General features: G+C 49.7%; 1 long non-coding RNA gene and 1 other non-coding gene across 2 annotated transcripts in view; both read left to right on the forward strand.

Moving 5' to 3' along the window:
- LOC105377731 (uncharacterized) overlaps positions 1-3,119 on the forward strand; it is a 29,006-nt gene extending 25,887 nt beyond the window's left edge. The window contains exon 4 of the long non-coding RNA XR_941237.3: positions 2,274-3,119. This is a non-coding gene — a long non-coding RNA (uncharacterized LOC105377731). The remainder of the gene's footprint in view (positions 1-2,273) is intronic.
- Positions 3,120-8,610: 5,491 nt separating this feature from the next.
- On the forward strand, positions 8,611-8,698 carry MIR12118 (microRNA 12118). The gene has a single exon (NR_162132.1). It is a non-coding gene; the product is annotated as a microRNA 12118 (primary transcript).
- Positions 8,699-17,719: the final 9,021 nt, after the last annotated feature.

Below are 17,719 nucleotides of genomic sequence, written 5' to 3' on the forward strand. Positions count from 1 at the left end.
TTGGCCAACTCTGAAGGCTGAGATCCTGGAGGAGCTTGCTGTCTGCTGAGGCACCTGCCAGGTACAAAGGATGTCGGGGTGGGCAAGTGGGCTCAGGTGCCAAGCTGAAGGATGTCAGTGTGGCCATTGAGACCTGGATGCTCCCAGGCCTCTGGAGGTTCATGGTCTCTGGGATGTCTGAATCCTCATCTGCAAGGATAGGTTAGGACAGGGAGTGTCTGAAAGGTTCAGAGGGATTGCTCTCGACCAACACACTCTCTGTCCCTCTCCTCCATCAGCTGCCTTGGTGAAGTGGGAATGAATACAGCTGGCCCCCTCCTTGTGGGTGGGGGGGGGGGTGAGGAGCCAAGAAGTAGGGCCATGGGGGAGGGGGGAGGGATAGCATTAGGAGAGATACCTAATGTTAAATGAAGAGTTAATGGGTGCAGCACACCAACATGGCACATGTATACATATGTAACAAACCTGCACGTTGTGCACATGTACCCTAAAACTTAAAGTATAATAAAAAAAAAGAAAAGAAAAGAAAAAAGAAATAGGGCCATGGGCACCTCATTGGGTGAGCACTAGGTCTCATGAACCACAGAACCCCAGGACTAGGGATGAACTAGGCAATCCGTGTGTTCTTGTTAAAGGCAGCTCCCCAGATCCTAGCTACGGAGTTGCTAGCTAGAGGCTCATTGTAAGGACCTCAGTCCTAATACAAAGACCTCAGTGCTTATAATGTAAGTGGTCACTGGGCTGTGCTTGGAACAAGACCCTTGACTTTATCCTTGTGTTTGGTAAAGGTAACCCACTCCACTGCTTGGCTTGGCACTCATCTCCCGGGAAGGGGAGCTGACATTTATTGGGCATCTATTTTCTGCCAAGAACACATACATTATCTCATTTAATCCTTTCCAAGCCCTATGAGTTAGGTATTATTCTCCCCATTTTACAGCTGAAATGGGGCTCAGAGAGGTTAAACCTCTTGCCAAAAGTCACACAGATCATAAGTGGCAGAGGCAGAATTCTAACCCAGGCCTGTTTTAGAGCTCCATAGGCATTCACCCATTCAATCAGATGCCAACACTTGCATCCCAGTCTGATTTTCCAGCTGCTGTCTGTGGCTATAGCTTTTTCCATTTCCTTGTCTGATTTCTGGCTGTCCATTTCCATGCTGCTCATCCACACAGGGCAGATGCTCGGGCAATTTTGCAAGAAGGTGCCGAAGAGACGAGAAAGCAGAGAGATAAAGGAGTGACAAAATGGAATTTCAGGTTGTGAGTCATCTCTCTTAAATTTGTGGATTTTGAGATGTTTTGCTGAAGACATCTTTTCATCCCCAAAGCCTAATAATAATAATCACAACAATATTGATACAGCGGCTATCATCACTGAGTGATTTTTATGTGCTAGCCACCGAGATCATGCAACCCTCTCGACATCCTATGACATAGAAACTATTATCTTTATTTTACAGGTGGCAAAACTGAGGGCCAGAAAAATGACTTGCCCGTAGTTACATAGCTAGTAATTTACACAGCTAATAGTAAGCTAGTATTTGAATCCAGCCATGGGGCCCCAAAACATAGGTGCTGAGCTGCTGTGTTCCTGCCTCCCAGCAAGCTGCACTGCCACTCTGATGAGGGATTCAGACTCAGGAAAGGCCAGGGATATGCCAGAGTTCTGCTGCAAGGGGAGGACCTGGGGGCGGAGAACTAGAGGCCTTTGAAGCATTGCCTCTGGGTTTCCAAGCCAGGAGGCCCCTAGGGTAGCAGGTGGAGCAGGGCAGCCCCTGCTGCTTGTCAAGGACGGCAGTGCCCCTTGCTCACATCTGTGCCACCCACCGCGCCCCCCCCATGGTCAGCACTAATGAGTGTGCACTGAGGACATGACCGAATGGGTAATGTACCCAGCGGAGGGTATCTGAAGGGTGGGGACACATGCATCCACTCCAGCTTTCTCTGGACTCTGACCTGCCCCTACATTTTCTCCCAGGGGGAACTCTGGCCAGAGGCTGTCCTGCAGCAAACGCGTGGTGCACAGAAGGGGGCCATTTCCACTGCAGCGACTGCATCACCTCCCCAACCCGAGCCTCTCTTGGGCAGTGGGTCCTGGGGTCACACGGGCCGCCAGTGCGCCTTCCTTGCTCTGGCCCATCTCTGCTTTGTTCAGAGTCAGGTTCTGTGGAGGAAGGCTGCGCATGCAGCCCCAGCCCCTCCTCAGGGCCCGTGGTCCCCGAGCTGCTGATGCTGGGGCCCACCAGTACCTCCCTCCCCTCCCCTCACCAGGAATCGCCCTTGGACTCCAGGAACACCTCACCCAAGGTCACGCCCCACCTCCAGTGGGCTGGCCTGTGGCTGCTGACTCCTGATGCCCTTGGGACTACTCTGCAGGATCACCATGTTCAGCTCTCCTTGTAGGACCAGCGGCGGCCTCACTTACTATGGCACAGTGGGCCGGCTTCTCCGCTGCCCACTCCCGCCTGGTCATTCCGTGCAGGGGCATCTCCTGACTGCTCTTCGCAACAAACCTTGCAATTTTCTGTCTTGAATCTGTTTCCTGTGAAGCCCATCGAAGACCACTGCCTTCTCGGGCAGGCCTCCACTGCCAGCTCCAGCTGCCTCCCCACCGTGAGTCCCCTGGCCTGGGGACAGATACAGGCTCATTCCCGAGTAGCCTCCGATATTGATTGGCTAACCTGGGATTGCTGGGAGGGACTGGTCCCCGCAACTGTAGCACATGGATTGAGGGGAGTTTCCCCTTGTCCCCAAACTGTCGTGCAGTTACCTGAAGACAGAGTGGGCTCCAAGCAGGTAAAAACAGCAGGAGTGTCTGTCCCGGCTAAAGGCTGCTCCTACGGCTACCAGCTCCCCAGCACCTCTGCCTGCCCCATGCACAGGCCTTGGGAAAGCCTCCAGGGAGAGAGGCACAGGTGTGTGTCCCAGCACGGAGTGTGCTGGTGTGAGGGTGGGGCACGGCCATGGCAGCGTCTGCTACACAGAGGTTGCGGGTGAGTGAAGGACAGAGGACTGGCTTCTGCAGGTGCTCATAATAATATTAAAAACTAGCATTGAAACTGCTCCTGAGATTTTGCAAAGTACTCTCAAATACATTATTTTTGTTCCTTTTGGAAACCCTGTGAGAAATAGTTATTTCAACTTTCCAAACAAGGAAATGAGACTTGCCAAGGACCCCCAGTCCAGGAGTGACAGACACCCGGCATTGTCCGCTCTCCCTGCTCTCTTGCGAGCCCACAGGCCCAGCCTCCCTTCGCAGCCCTATTGTCTGTAGAACTGCTGTTCCTCTGGGTTGCAGGGAGGATTAGAAAAGGAGAAAGGGGGCTCTTTTCAGCTGGAGAACTCTCATTGCGTGCTGGAAGGTCTGGGAGGCATTCTCGGTGAGAAGACTCTTGCGAAGGCAGAGATGACGGGAAGGGCGTGAGAGGGTTTTTGGGATGGCTGCTCTTCTGAAATCGGTGGCCGCTCTTTCTTCCCTGTGACCGTCCCTCCCTGGATTCCCACCCGGCTTCCTGGCCATAACTGCTGCTGTCATCATTATGTGGCCCTTTCCAGGAACAGTGGGTCGGGCTGTCCTGATGTTTTTCTGAATTCAAAGAATTTCACAAATCTCTCAGAACTCAGGGATGGCCCCAGCCGGGCCCTAGAGCCTTGCCGAGGAGGTCTCCCGTCCCTGATGAGCTGTTGGATTCCATGGGTCATTTCTCTGCCCCTTCTCTTCCCTTTGCTTCCCTTTCCTGCTCCCGCCCTCCCAGCTTGGCAGTCCCAGCTCCATTCCTGCCTTGATGCTTCCAAACCGGAGCTGTATTCTTGGGGGCTCTGCACTGGACATTCCCAGGTGGTGCCAGCGCGGATGGAACTCCCTGCTCCCCCAGCCCCTTGGAACCCCATCTCAACCTCAGCCCCCTGGCTGGCTCCTGGCATCTCCAATTTGTCTCTCAGATCAGGGCTCCAAGAACACGTGGGAATGAATGGCAGGACAGGCCCTCTCTTTAGCCTCTGCACTTCCCAGGGTACTGAGTGATGCTGAAGGGCCAGCCCCAGGCCGTCTTAAGGTGGAAACAAGGCAAAGGGAAACTGAAGTGAGAAACAAATGGAAGACGTAGAGAAAAGAATACTAGTAGCTACTATTTGCTAAGTGCCCTGTGCCGGTTAACTTACATAACTTATCATGCTTAATCTCTATAGCAGCCATCCGCAGTAGGTATCATGACCCCCATCTACAGATGAGGAAACAGAAGTTCATGGAGGGGTAATGACTTGCCCAAGGCCCTACAGCTAGTCAGCGGCAAAGCTGGGTAACCCTGAGCTCCATCTGGATCCCGGAACTCCCTTTGCTTTCCCTTTCCTCCCTCCCTTCCGTCTGTCTTGCTCCGAGCGCCACTCTGATTGCAGTGGTGCAATCATAGCTACTGTAACCTCTAACTCCTGGGCTCAAGTGATCCTGCGGCCTCAGCCTCCGGAGTAGCCGAGACTACAGGCGCGTGCCACCACACCCAGCTAATTAAAATGTTTTTCGTAGAGACAGGGTCTCTGTGCTATGTTGCCCAGGCTTGTCTTGAATTCCTGGCCTCAAGTGATCTTCCCGCCTTGGCCTCCCAAAGTGCTGGGATTACAGGTGTGACCCACCTCGCCCGGCATGACTTCCTTTTCTATTTCCAGCCCAGGCCTCCCAAGTTCAAGACCCTTGTATCAGGCCCCCTAATGAGGCCCAGGTCTGCCCAGTCAGTGTATTCCCTGTCCCTGACCACAGTGATAGTGACACAAACAGGGCCAATGAGGACCCTTGGGAGGAGAAGCTCCTTTTTCCCCAGGATTGCCCGTGAGAAGGAGGCTGGGAGCCTGCAGCCTCGGCAATGCCACGCGGCATCTTAGAATGAAGCGGGCACAGAGGGAGGCAGAGCTGAGACACTGAGAAGAGGAGGTGGAGGCCTCATGGTCCTGTCTGAGCCTGGGTCCAGCTATGCCTGAAACTTGGACCCTGACCTTTTTAGTCGAGTGAACCAATAAATCCTCCTTGTTGGCTTAAGCCAGTGTGAATTCGGTGGCTGCTACTGGTAACTGAAGTCATCTAATACAATGGCCAGGACTCACTCTATTTCTGTTTAAATGATTTTGCTGGATCTGGCTTTCTGAAGCCCCTTCCACACACAGGCCTTATGGTCAGCCTTGCTTCCTGGAAGGCTCAGAACCTTATATTCAGTTGTATTCATCCCAGCATAGAGCATAGAAGGTGCGTTGACTAGATTTTAAAAATTTCTACTGTGTATTTTTTTTTTTTTAATAAATAACTTTTGAGTTCTAGACTAACAGCTGGGATCCACCTCTCTGTTGCCTCTTCTGACCTCGTTGCATGTTTAATTCTCTTCAAGCCACTCCCCAGACTGTGGACTCTCTTTGTCACTGTGGCCCTCATTGCCTTTATAAGTGTGCACAGAACTCAGCGTGGCAGCTGCGAGTTCTCAGAGGCGCCCCTTCCTGTGGTGCTCTCAGGCACAGTGTAGGAGGCCAGGCCCAGTGTTCTGGGGACACTGTGGCCTGTCCTGCTTCCGTTCCTTGGCCAGCTTCTGGTCACCTTCAAGAGATGCTTAGCAGCCATTAAGGCCATCAGCTGATGGCTCAACCCTCTGGCTTTCTACTCTACCCAGCAGCAGGTATAGACAGAGAACTGACCACACACGCTTAGCTAGACCCTCATTCCTCAGTTCTTTTTCTCTTTCTCTCTTTCTTTGTCTTTCTTTCTTTCTTTCCTTCTTTCTTTCTTTCTTTCTTTTTCTTTCTCTCTCTTTCTCCTTCCTTCCTTCTCTCCTTTCTTTCCTTCCTTCCTTTCTTTCTCTCTCTTTTTCTTTCTTTCTTTCTTTCTCTCTCTTTCTCCTTCCTTCCTTCTCTCCTTTCTTTCCTTCCTTCCTTTCTTTCTTTTCTTTCTTTCTTTCTTTCTTTCTTTCTTTCCTTCTTTCTTTCTTTCTTTCTTTCCTTCTTTCTTTCTCTCTCTTTCTTTTCTTCCTTTCCTTTCTTTTCTTCCTTTCCTTTCCTTTCCTCTCCTCTCCTCCGCTCCCCTCCCCTCCCCTCCCCTCTCCCCTCCCGTCCCCTCCCCTCCCCTCCTCTCCCTTCCCCTCCCTTCCCCCCTCCCCTCCCCTCTCCTCCCCTCCCCTTCCCTTTCCTCCCCTCCCCTCCCCTCTCCTCCCCTCCCCTCCCCTCTCCTCCCCTCCCCTCCCGTCCTCTCCCCTCCCCTCTCCTCCCCTCTCCTCTCCTTTCCTTTCTGTCAGGGTCTCACTCTGTTGCCCAGACTAGTCTTGAACTCCTGGCCTCAAATGGTCCCCCTGCCTCAGCCTCCCTAAGTGCTAGGATTACAGGTGAGAGCCACCACGCTCAACTCTCAGTTCTCTTTCCTAAAGTGGGTCTGGGAGTCTAGAAAATTCTCTGTAAAAGGATTGGCTTGATTTTGGACTGCTGTTTGACCCAGTGGAGCTGGAACGGAGAAGCTGGTACCCCATCACAGGCTTGTTTGCTTTTCTAAAATTGCCCCTTTCAGCCCCATTTTGCCAACAGGAAAACCGAGGCAGAAACCAAAAAAAATGACCTGCCTGAAATCCTGAGAGTCTGACCTTTTGACTGTGAGTCCTACCCTGAGCATTTCTGCAGCACGAAATTCTTTCTGCTGCTCTACGTGGTCTCCTTCCTTCCAAGCAAGGGGGAAACACAGCTGTTGGAGCTTTGGGGGAGGATGTCATGCTCATTAGGACCCCCGCCCCGCCCAGGCAATGGCTCAATGGGATGAACTCCTGACCCTCGGGCCTGCTGCAGGAAGTGTGACGTACGGACTCTGGCTGGATTCAGGGGGCTGTGGGAGAGGCAGACAAGCAGGATTGAACTCTTGAGCCCAGGAGGTTAAAAATATGTAGGGGAATGGCAGGGCTAGAAGTGTGGATGGCTTCGCTTAGTTCCCGGAGGAATGGGCTTTGCCGGAATGATGTGTGAGCATCCGTGTGCTGGCTGCTGGGAGGGTCTGGGTGGGATTTGGTGGCCCTCAGAGGCTGCAGGTGTGGACGCTTGGCCTCCATGTCACTCTCAGACACCTTCAGGTCTCCCTGCAGGGCTGGGAGATTGTCTCAGCTGGGAGTCTTGGCTACACCAGGAGGTGGGCGGCAAAGGGCGGGAGGCTAGAACCTGTCCCTGTGCTGGGAGCCCCAGGCTCTCCTGTGGAACCCGTGGGGAGGCAGGGAGCTTGGCACCTTTGTACATGTGCCTTGTGGCGGGGGTGGGGGGTATTAGACAGAGCAGTGGGCCCCAGATCCAGAAACTGTTGAGGTGAAGGGTGCCCACCCTCCCTCCACATTCTGCCAAGTGCTTGTTGAACCCTGCTGAGTTTTGTTGCCCAGTGATCAATTCCCCTTTCTCTTTTGGCAACCTCGTCTTGATTTTCTTTTGAAGGAAATCTGAAACCCTGTGATTAGGGTGGGGCTGGCCCTCAGATCCATGGCTGGAGGCTAGACTGTGACTCAGCCTGGCCAATCAGAGCACTGTGCCCCTCTGGCCACAAGGATGAGTGTGTGTCCCAAGCTAGACCAGTGAAGCATATATCACTCAGGACAGGCCGAGTTAAGCTGCAGTAACAAATCATCCTGCTAATATCTCTTTACAACAAAAGTGTGTGTGTGTGTGTGTGTGTGTGTGTGTATGTATGCGTGTGTGTGTTTTAAATGCCCCCTCAACTACTGAAAAAGAGAAGCTCCCTCTCCGTACTGGCATTGCAAATCTGTGCATTTAACTCGGGGGGCTACCTGGCAGGGAGTCTGCCTGGGAATGAAGCTATCACAGAAGAAAGCCGAATGGAGAGAAGTGGATTCCTGATGTTATCATTTGAGCACCTGGAACCGGCCATGCCTGTTTCCCATTACCTGGGGCAATATAGTCTCCTCTATTTTTTCCTTTATTTATTCCTCCTTCCCTCTTGTTTTCCTCCTTCCATCCTTTTTCTTTTTTCTTTTTCTTAAACTGCTTTGAATTAGATTGCTATTGCTTACAACCAAAATAAGTCTAATCTATTAACCCAAACTCTATTTTTTTCCCAGTAGCTGGTTCAGAACTGGCCTCCTCCATGCAACCTCCCTAGATCAGTGCCCTCTCTTACAGATTCACTTATCCTTTTCAACGCTCCCTCAGGACTGGTAATTGTTATTTGCATGGTATCATTTTGTGCTTATTTGTATATTGTTATTTGGTGGTATTGTTCTTTTATGTCCTTAACTAGATATTTTCAAGTCAAGTAAAAAAAAAAACCAATAAAGATATTTACTGAACTCTTCTGGTTATGTGACAGTGTGCTGGAGGATGGGGTGGAGTGAGAGTAAGTCATTTAAACACAATAATAGAAGGCTGGGCCTTCTATTATTATAAGTGGCTCACCCCCTGTAATCATAGCACTTTGGGAGGCCGAAGTGGGAGGATTGCTTGAACCCAGGAGCTTGAGACCAGCCTGGGCAACATAAAATTAAACATCTGGGGAACACCTTAAAAAAAAAACTTTTTAAAATAGAAGATTTAAATTGGGTCAGAGATAAAACTCATGCATTGGGAAGGTTCGTTCAAGCTGGAGGAGTCTGGGAAGGGGTCAAGGAGGAGCGGGGATTAGTTCTAGGGGCTGTAGGAGGGTGACAGTCCTGGACTGAAGGTCACCTGCTTGGCTCTGATGATTTGGAGAAAGATTTCCCTCAGTAAGAAAACAGGGGGAGGGGCAAAGCGGTTGCTGCTGAGCAAATTGCCTCCGTGGTGCCCGGTCAGTCTTCATAGTCCCCTAACATTTGAAGCTGCCTCAACTGCAGACTCTGGCATCAGTTCTGTGACCAGCCAGGAGTGTGAGTGTGAACATTTCCTCTAATGTCTCTCTGGCTGAGTCAACACTACGGTTGTCACCTCACTGTGACCTACAGCCCCAGCAGGCCCCTCTCCTGTCTTGTTTCTCAGTGACCCTGCCATGACTCAGCTCTACCCGGATTCTTCACTTGAAACCTGATTCCATCTGGGGGTGGGGGGTCCTGCCGTGATCCGAGTCTTTGCAGGTGCTGAGCGCTGTCCAGGAACCTCCAGCTAGGTCCCTGTTGCCAGGCCGTGCACATTTCTGCTCTGCCCTTCACCTATTTCTGTCTGCCTGGCTCTCCCTAATCTGCCTGCCCCTTTTGGTTGGACCATCTGAGCTCCGGGCTTTGGCTGGTCCTCATGCATTCATTGCATCCAGACAGGCATGGCTAGGATGGGTTCTGGGGACAGTAAACTCCTTCTGCCCTCTGCCAATTTGCCTCCTTCTCTCCAAGAACCACAGTGTCTCTCCAGCACCTTCCATGACACGTGGGGTGCGGCGAGAGGCAATGACCGTCCCAAGGTCACTTGGAGGTTCTGCAGTTTTATTCAGAAATGTTAGTGTAGCATTCTGAGGTTCTCAGATGGTACTCAGGGGGCAAATATTGTTAGAGCAGTGCAGAACGACTTTCCCTTCTGGTTTTGGAGGAATCGGAAGGGAAAAACTTGGAATTCTATATGCTCCAGCTCGTGGCCTCGTCTTGACAAAAGCCCTTTGAGGATTGAAATAACTGCACCTCCCGGCTAGCACCAGCAGCACTTTCTCTTTGTCTGGAAACTGCTGTGCTGGTGTTTGCAGAAGGGGATCCTCCCTGCTAACTGTGTACTCTTTCAGCCCTGCAGAAGGCCGACTTCCTAGGAAACAGGACTGCTCATTCCACCGGGCCTCCCTGTTGTGTATCTTGTCTTCAAATGAATCATTGCTTCTCGTGACTTATTGACAGGCCTGATTTGGCCCTGCAGAGAACCCAAAAGCTGCGGGTGGCAGACCCCTCGGAGGACAGGAACCTGGACTTAGTCTTTGGATTCCTGAGGTTAAGCCTAAGACCCTCCAGTTACAACCTGGGGGAAGTTGCTTTACCTCTGAGAGTCTGTTTCTTGATCTGTAAAGTAGGAATAACCATTTCCACCTTACTGGGGGGCATCGTGAGACAATATTTTTTTAAACACTGGTCTAAATGTGGAAGGCCAGAAAGAGTTGAGCATTTGAGGCTATCAGCAAGGATGCTGACATGGAGTTATTTGGCCCCATAGTGACAGTGTGCACCTAATGCCTTCGTTCTGCCAGGCCAGCTTCTTAGTCTTCCTCCTAGAGCTCCTCTTTTGGTTCCTGGACTGTGCTGGGGGGCCGGGGTGGTGGTCCTGATCTCATCAGGCATCCCTACTATCTGCCCAGGTGTGTGCTTTAGGACCAATGCACCCTGCCCAAGTACTCTTCACTTTGTCTATTGGCAGCTCATGCTATTTCTTTTTGTTTACATTTTACATTTTATCAAAGTAATACGTATAGATAGTTGACAACTTTAAATACAAGTCTTAATGGCAGAGACTCCCTAGTTCCATAGCTGGCTATGGCACTCCAGAATATAGATGGTATTTTCCAGCCTCCTTTGCACCTAGGAGTAACCATGGGACTAGGTTCTGGCCAGTGAGGACTTGGTTCTGGCTGGAAGTGTTATGTAGTAGCTTAGGGGGAAACTGCCTAAAAAGACAGAGGGTGTGAACCCTTTTTCATCTTTGTCCCTTCCATCTTCCATCCTGCTGACTGGAAGGTGGATTCGACGGCTGGAGCTGGAGCAGCCATATTGATCAAGAAGGACATCTTGGAAATGGAGGCCATGCATGGTGTAGCAGTGAGAAAAAGGAGATCTAGTCTTCTAGAACTTTGTGGAGCAGCCCTGAGTTGCGAAGCTCCAGCCTTTTGTCTGAGATAGAAATACATTTCTGTTTTTTTGGTTTTTTTTTTTGAGATGGAGTCTCACTCTTGTCACCCAGGCTGGAATGCAATGGCATGATTTCGGCTCACTGCAACCTTCGCCTCGAGGTTCATGCGATTCTCCTGCCTCAGCCTCCCAAGTAGCTGGGATTACAGGCACCTGCCACCATACCCAGCTAATTTTTGTACTTTTTGTACAGACGGGGTTTCACCATGTTGGCCAGGCTGGTCTCGAACTCCTGACCTCAGGTGATCTGCCCGTCTTGGCCTCCCAAAGTGCTGGCATTATAGGCGTGAGCCACTGCGCCTGGCCACATTTCTGTTTTAAGTAAGGGATTTTGCTTTGAGTTCCAGTTTCTTTTTGCTAAAACTGATTCTAGCAGAACCAAATTACAAGTAGCTGTACAGTTTCCCACCACTGAATCCCACTCCCAGAGACAATCACTTGCTGCCCTTGAGCTGTTTCTTCTAGTATTTCCCTCCAGATGGCTGAACAACACAGCTCTGCTGCTATGTCTTGTTTATGTGTTTATTTTATTTTAGATGTTATCTATTGACATCTTCCTACAAAATATTGGGATTCAGCTCTCTGTTCACCCCCAATCCTCTGCTACTGCCCCAAACACTGTCCTTCTGCTCATCCTCCCAGTGCAGATGACTGGCTGAATCCACATATAGTGCATTTGTCCCTTATTACACCCGTGTGAATATTGTTCACATCTGAGCTAAGTCCCTATGCAGGGAGCGTTTTAAGGATGACATTTTGTTTTTGAAAATAACTCTTTACTTTGCATGGAATTAATAATGTATCTTTTGGGATGTGTCTAGTTCTCTTTTCTTTCAGTACTTTGTGAAGGAACAAATTACATGTAGTAAAATGTACAAATCTTCAGTGCACAGCTTAATGACTTTTACACATGATCTCCTGTGACACCTCCCCCGAGGCCAAGATATAGAACATTCCTGTCATCCCTGAAGGTTCCCTTGTGTTCCTATCCGGTTAATACCTGCCTATGCTTTTCTCTCCGGATATAATCACTGTTTTGACTTCTATTCCTATAGACTAGTTTTCCTGTTTTTGAATCTCATATGAATAGACTCCTACTACATGTGTCCTTTTCTGCCTGGCTTCATAATGTCTTGAGATCCACAAGTTGTGGTGTGAATCAGCCATTCATTCCTTTAAATTCCTTTTAATATTTCCATCCAAGTAATATTCCTTGGATGGAAACACCACAGTCTGTTTATCTGTCCCTTATTTGATGGGCATTTGGCTGGTTCCAGTTTTTGGCTATAATATTCTTGTACCAGTATCTTTGTGGACATAGGCACTCACTTTTCTGGATATTCCTAAGACTGGGATTGCTGGGCCATTGATGGGTCTACGTTTAACACTATAAGAGACTGCCAGCTGGGTGCGGTGCCTCATGCCTGTAATCCCAGCACTTTGGGAGGCTGAGGCAGGTAGATCACTTGAAGTTAGGAGTTCAAGACCAGCCTGGCCAAAGTGGTGAAACCCTGTCTCTACCAAAAATACAAAAAAACTAGCCAGGCATGGTGGCACATGCCTGTAATCCCAGCTGCTCAGGAGGCTGAGGCAGGAAAATCGCTTGAACTTGGGAGGTGGAGGGAGGTTGCAGTAAGTCAAGATTGCACCACTACACTCCAGCCTGGGCAACAGAGCAAGACTCTGTCTCAAATAAATAAATAAATAAATAACAATAAAATAAAATAAAAAGAACTGCCAAAGAGTTTTCCAAAGTTGTTGTACCATTCATGCCGCCGCCAGGAGCAAATGAGAGTTCCAGTTGCTTCGCTGACTTGTAACACTTGGGCTTGTCTGTTGTTCTTAATTTTATCTACTCTGCTGGGTGGATAGTGATTGCCATTGTGGTCTTAATTTCCATTTTCCTGGTGACTAATGATATTGAGGCCCCCTTCATGTGCTTATGGGCTGCTTGAACATCTTTATTTGTGAAATGCCTGTTCAAGTCTTTTGCTCATTTTTGGCTTTGCTATCTGTACCAAATTTAATCATAACTGACTTATCCCCAAGCCATCTGAGAGAACCATGCAATGATCACCTGCAGCCCCTCCTGTCCCCACCTCCTGGTGGGGCTGGCTGCTGTCTCCACCACTGCACAGCTGCACGTTCTGGGACCCTGCCCTCTTTCCTGGGCTGGATCTCTGCTTCCTGAATCAGATTATGTCTTAGCCAGTGTACTTCATTTTTGGTGGAGCACAGTCCCAGGAGCTCCATGCAAAAGGATATTTGAGAAGGAAATGTTTTGAGACCTTCCATGCCTGAAATACATCTTGATAGTAGCCCACTTGATTGATGATCTGACTAGGTTTAGAATTATTTTCCCTTGGCAGGCTGAAACATTGAGCCTCTGGCTTTGGGCTTCCAAAGTTGCTGTTGAGAAGTCTGATGCCATACTGATTCTTGATCCTTCTTATGTGACTTTTTCCCTGCTCCAGGAACCTTTTGGGATTTTCCTCTTTACCAGTAGGAGTTTCAAAATTTCACAAGAATGTGTCTTGTTGGGAAACTTTTCATTGACTGCCTTGGGTTCTCTGCAGGCCTTTTACATCTGGAATCTCTTACCATTCAGTTCTGTACTATTATTTCTTAGATAATTTTCTCTCTACCATTTTCTCTGTTCCTTCATTCTAATGTTCTTACTACTTGGGTGTTAAATCTCCTAGACTGATCCTCTGACTTTCTTATCTTTTTCCTTCCATGGCCCATCTCTTTCTGAGAGATTTTCTCAAATTGATCTTCCAACTGTTTTATTGTATTTTTTATTTTTTCTCTCTTATTCTAATTTTCAGGAACTCTTGTTTGGTTTCCTGAATATTCTTCTTCATATCCCCCTAAGAAATGGGATGACCATGAATAGCTTAGATGCACCTGTGAATGTGGGCAGGAGGCCTGCGAGGGCCAGGCTGGTGAAGCCCTTGAGTGAAGTGGACAGGGTAGGAGACAATACGGAGTGGTGGGGACTGTGTTGAACTGGAATGTGGGCTCAGTATTGGCAGATGTTTTCATTCTTGAAAAGATGCTGCAAATTTGGATTTTTGTGGCTTGCACTTGCTTGCAACGAATCTGGTGTTTAAAAAATCAACACGTAAGTCAAACAAAACACACTTACAGGCACTATTTGGCCTATGAGCCACCATTTTGTCCCCCCCCAACCCACCCCAGGTATGGACCCTACAGTGTGCAAATGAGTGTTCCATTCCTTCTGTTTTTTCTTTCTTACAACAACTCTGTGAAGCCTCTTGCCAGAGATCTTGTCACGTGTAGAACCTGTCTCAGGAACTAAGCATAGTGTTCTGTTTAAAGGTTTTGTTTTTGTTTTTGTTTTTTTTTTCCAAAAAAGCGTTGACCTCAGGTAGCCATGGTGTGTGCTGCTCATATCTCCCTGCTGTGAAGAATGAGATTTGCTCACAGCTTCCAGCTGCCCCACTGTCAGGGCCCCTGACGGTGTCCCTGCTGAGCCACCCTCTTCCCAGGCTGCTCCCAGCAGTGACTGAGCACCTAGAGGTGCTGGAGCAGGGCCTCCATCTGTCCAGCACAGGCCTCACGTTTCACTCTGGGGCTCCCCATCATCCTGGCAGGGACTTTTGGGGCTGAGCTGCAGTCCTGCCCAGCTCTCCTTCTGTCCCCTCTGTCCCTCCAAAAGTGTCAGAAAGCACCATGGGCCGAGGCTCTGCCTACCCACGCCTGTTCTTCGCATCATCCTTCATGGCGTTTCCCCTGCATTTAATTCTGCCTCTGCTTCCTAGAGGACCCTAACGGGCGCAGCTTTTGGGGCTCCAGGCTTGGAAATATAAGTATGGAGTGGCTTCCCTCTTGGCCTAACATGTTTGCTTAGACAAGTGGTGGTTGGAAAAGGAATCTCAGGACATTCAAGGTTGGCAGGGAGGGGCCTCAGAGGGCAGCCGGCCCCATTCCTTCTGCACAGCTGCAGCCATTAGGAGGCCGAGGACGTCCCCACCAGGTGCTGGTGACCATCTGGAGGGGTTACAGGAATGGCTTCCCTCCTTGGAGGCGCTGGGATGACCCAGGGGCTGGAGGGCCAGGAACTCTCTGCTGGTTTGCTATTTTCTGTTGGAATGTGGGGAATACAGCTAGGCTGCTTTCTCCTGAGGTCTGTGAGGAGCCTCCTACCCTGGCCCTGCTTTGAGACACTTGGGGCAGGGGAGTTTGATCAACTGATCCCCTTCCTGGGGTCCTCCGCCGCTTTGGTCATTGTGCTCCCAGCCATGCTGGCTCTCTAGAAATGAGAGTTTCCATGGCGTTGCATGCTAGGGAAGAGGTAGGAACCCAGCATGAAGGCATGAAGCCGATGTTTGCTGAATGACCCTGGAGAAGGGAGGTCTGAGCGGTAGAGGCAGTGGCTTCTCTTTCTTCTCATATCTCATTATTGTGCTCGCTCTCCATTGAATATTTCAAAATGACACTTTTGCAATCAGGGTCACCTGACCTTGGCTGTTGAAAGGGATGGGGCTGTGGCAGCTTCAGGGGAGGGAGGCTCCTTCCATCTCCCTCTCCTCACTGCCCCCCTGACAGTTCCCATGCACCCGATGGAGCAATGGGACCCCCCTTTCTGTCCTTGCCTTACTAGGTGAACGTGAGCCCAGTGCAGCCTAACTCATTTGCTGCAGACCTCGCCTGCATTTTCCAAGTTGGAAGAGAGGAGAAGGGTCTCTGCTGCCAGGTGGCTTTCAGTGTTTCTCCTGCAGAGGTGGGCACGAGCCCCAACAGAGACCTGGGAGGGGAGGGCTTCTGAGAATGGTGGGCCTGGCAAGCCCAGAGGACTGTCTTCATTTTCATGGTGTTATTCTTGGCTAAGAAACACAGGCGAGCTCTCTAGCTTTTTGAAAATTTGCCCCACTTACTCTGAGAAGGCACTTGGACCCTGTCCTGGGGCTCCATTTCGTTCCTTTGTGCCTTTCATCGTTTCACTTTTTAAAAATACATTTCTCTTCATTTCAGCTGAGTCATTTTCCTCCTCCTCCTCCTCCTTCTCTTCTTGACACTCCCGGGAGCCAGAAGGAGCCCTGTCCCGAATCCTTGGCTCCTGCAGGCCAGATCTTTTCCAAATGTCAAACTCTTAGGAACCTTGGCACAGAGCCGAGTGGGCTCTGGCCCCAAATCTCTTTCCTCCCTTGTCTTTGTCAGGCTCTGCTTTCCTTTCTCAGTAAAGAGGTTTATTAATTAGCTTTTCTGTAAGTCCTTTGCCTTGAGGTTTTCAGAGGGAGCCCTGGCAGGAAGGGCCCTCTGCTCCTGGGCATGGGCCTTGGTGCCACCCGGTGGAGCTTGCCACATGGCACTCCTGGTGGAACTCAGCTCGGTGAGAGCATCATGGGGCTGCTCAGGAGCTGCTCAGGGCCCACTCACCTCACTGGGGCAGGGGCTGGGACTCGTTCAGGGCTCCCACTTAGTTAGCCTCCAACCCCTCATGCCCACTTCAGGCAAAGTCTCACCCTGCGGGGCTGGCCCCTCTGTTGGGTCCCTTAGAGACCTTGAGCCTGCCCCAGAAGAGACAGGACAGAGTAAAAAGCATGAGGCAGCTCATCCCATCCGTGATCTTGGCTTTAGGCCACTGTCTTCTGAAATGGCCGAGAGAAATAACCACCACCCTTTACGTGGCATGTCATCGTCTTCAAAGCATTTCCTAGGCTTTGTGACTTTTTATATAGCTTAAGTCATTTTATCTTCAACTGCCCTCCATCCCCCTGAGAAAAGCAGGATAGCTGTTGGTTTCCTTATTTTGTAGCTAAGGAAACAGGCTTAGAAAATGGAACCGATTCGCCAAGGTCTCAGGGCCAGTCCTGATTTTTTCAGTCATTAGTTATATTTCCTTCTTATCCCCAAAGAGATTTACCTGGTGCAAGATGAGTAGGTGGCTGGATTGGTACCCCTGTCTATGTCTCCTGACTTCAAAATTACAGGCTTCCCAGCGATTTTTAATTTTGACACCCTCTCACTGATTCTATGACATGTTGATCCCTTGTACAAGGATGCAAGGATATATTTGCTTTAGAAGTTAAAGTAAATTGAAACTCATCTGATTTGACATTTTGGCACCATTTTAGACAAGAGGTTTCTTTCATTCATTCGTTCATTCATTCATTCACTCACACCGAGCAATGGCAGAGCTGCTGGGGATACAGGCAACTGTGTACAAAAAATGACATAGCCTCTGTCCTCATGGAGTTTAGAACCTGTGGTTCTTATAGTACCAAGGGTGAAAACAGCTTAGATTTGAAGAGTATGGTGTAAGATCCTCCAGCCTGTCTTGAGGGAAGCCAGTCACTATGGAAGAAGTGAGACTACCCCCGGACGGCCATGCTCTGACAGGCCTCGGGGGATGAGGCACCACAATGGGGACTGTGGGAGAGGTGGGACGGGAGAAGAGAGGAGGCCTGGAGCACCGAGGCACCATCTTGGGAAGGTCATCTTGGAAGTGGATCCTCCAGCCCCGGTTGCCCCAGCCACCACCATGTGAAGAGTCTAACCACCCTTTCCAAATTTCTGACCTGTAAAATTATGAGCAAAATAAAATAGTTGTTTTATACCTACTAAGCTTCAGGAGTAGTTTTGTTAAACAGCAATAAACATCTGGGACAGAATTCTAGGGACTGATCATTCTTTCTGAACAAAGCCCTCTTTGGAGCCCTTGGCCCTTTGCAGAACATTATTCATATCTCAGGGGACAAGCAGGTGGTCCCTGTCCTCTTTAGCATGCCACTGCTTTTTTACATGTGCATTCCCCCTTAGTTTTAAGAACCATAAAAATTCCTGGAATTTATCGAATGGGAAACGGAACCAGCTGATTCTCCTCATTACCTTGTGAACAATACCCTGCCTCTGAGAATTCCATGTAGGAGCTTTCCTTGTTTCTCCCAAGTT

Source organism: Homo sapiens, chromosome 5 (genome assembly GCF_000001405.40).
Source record: "Homo sapiens chromosome 5, GRCh38.p14 Primary Assembly".
In the NCBI taxonomy this organism is placed as follows: Eukaryota; Metazoa; Chordata; class Mammalia; order Primates; family Hominidae; genus Homo; species Homo sapiens.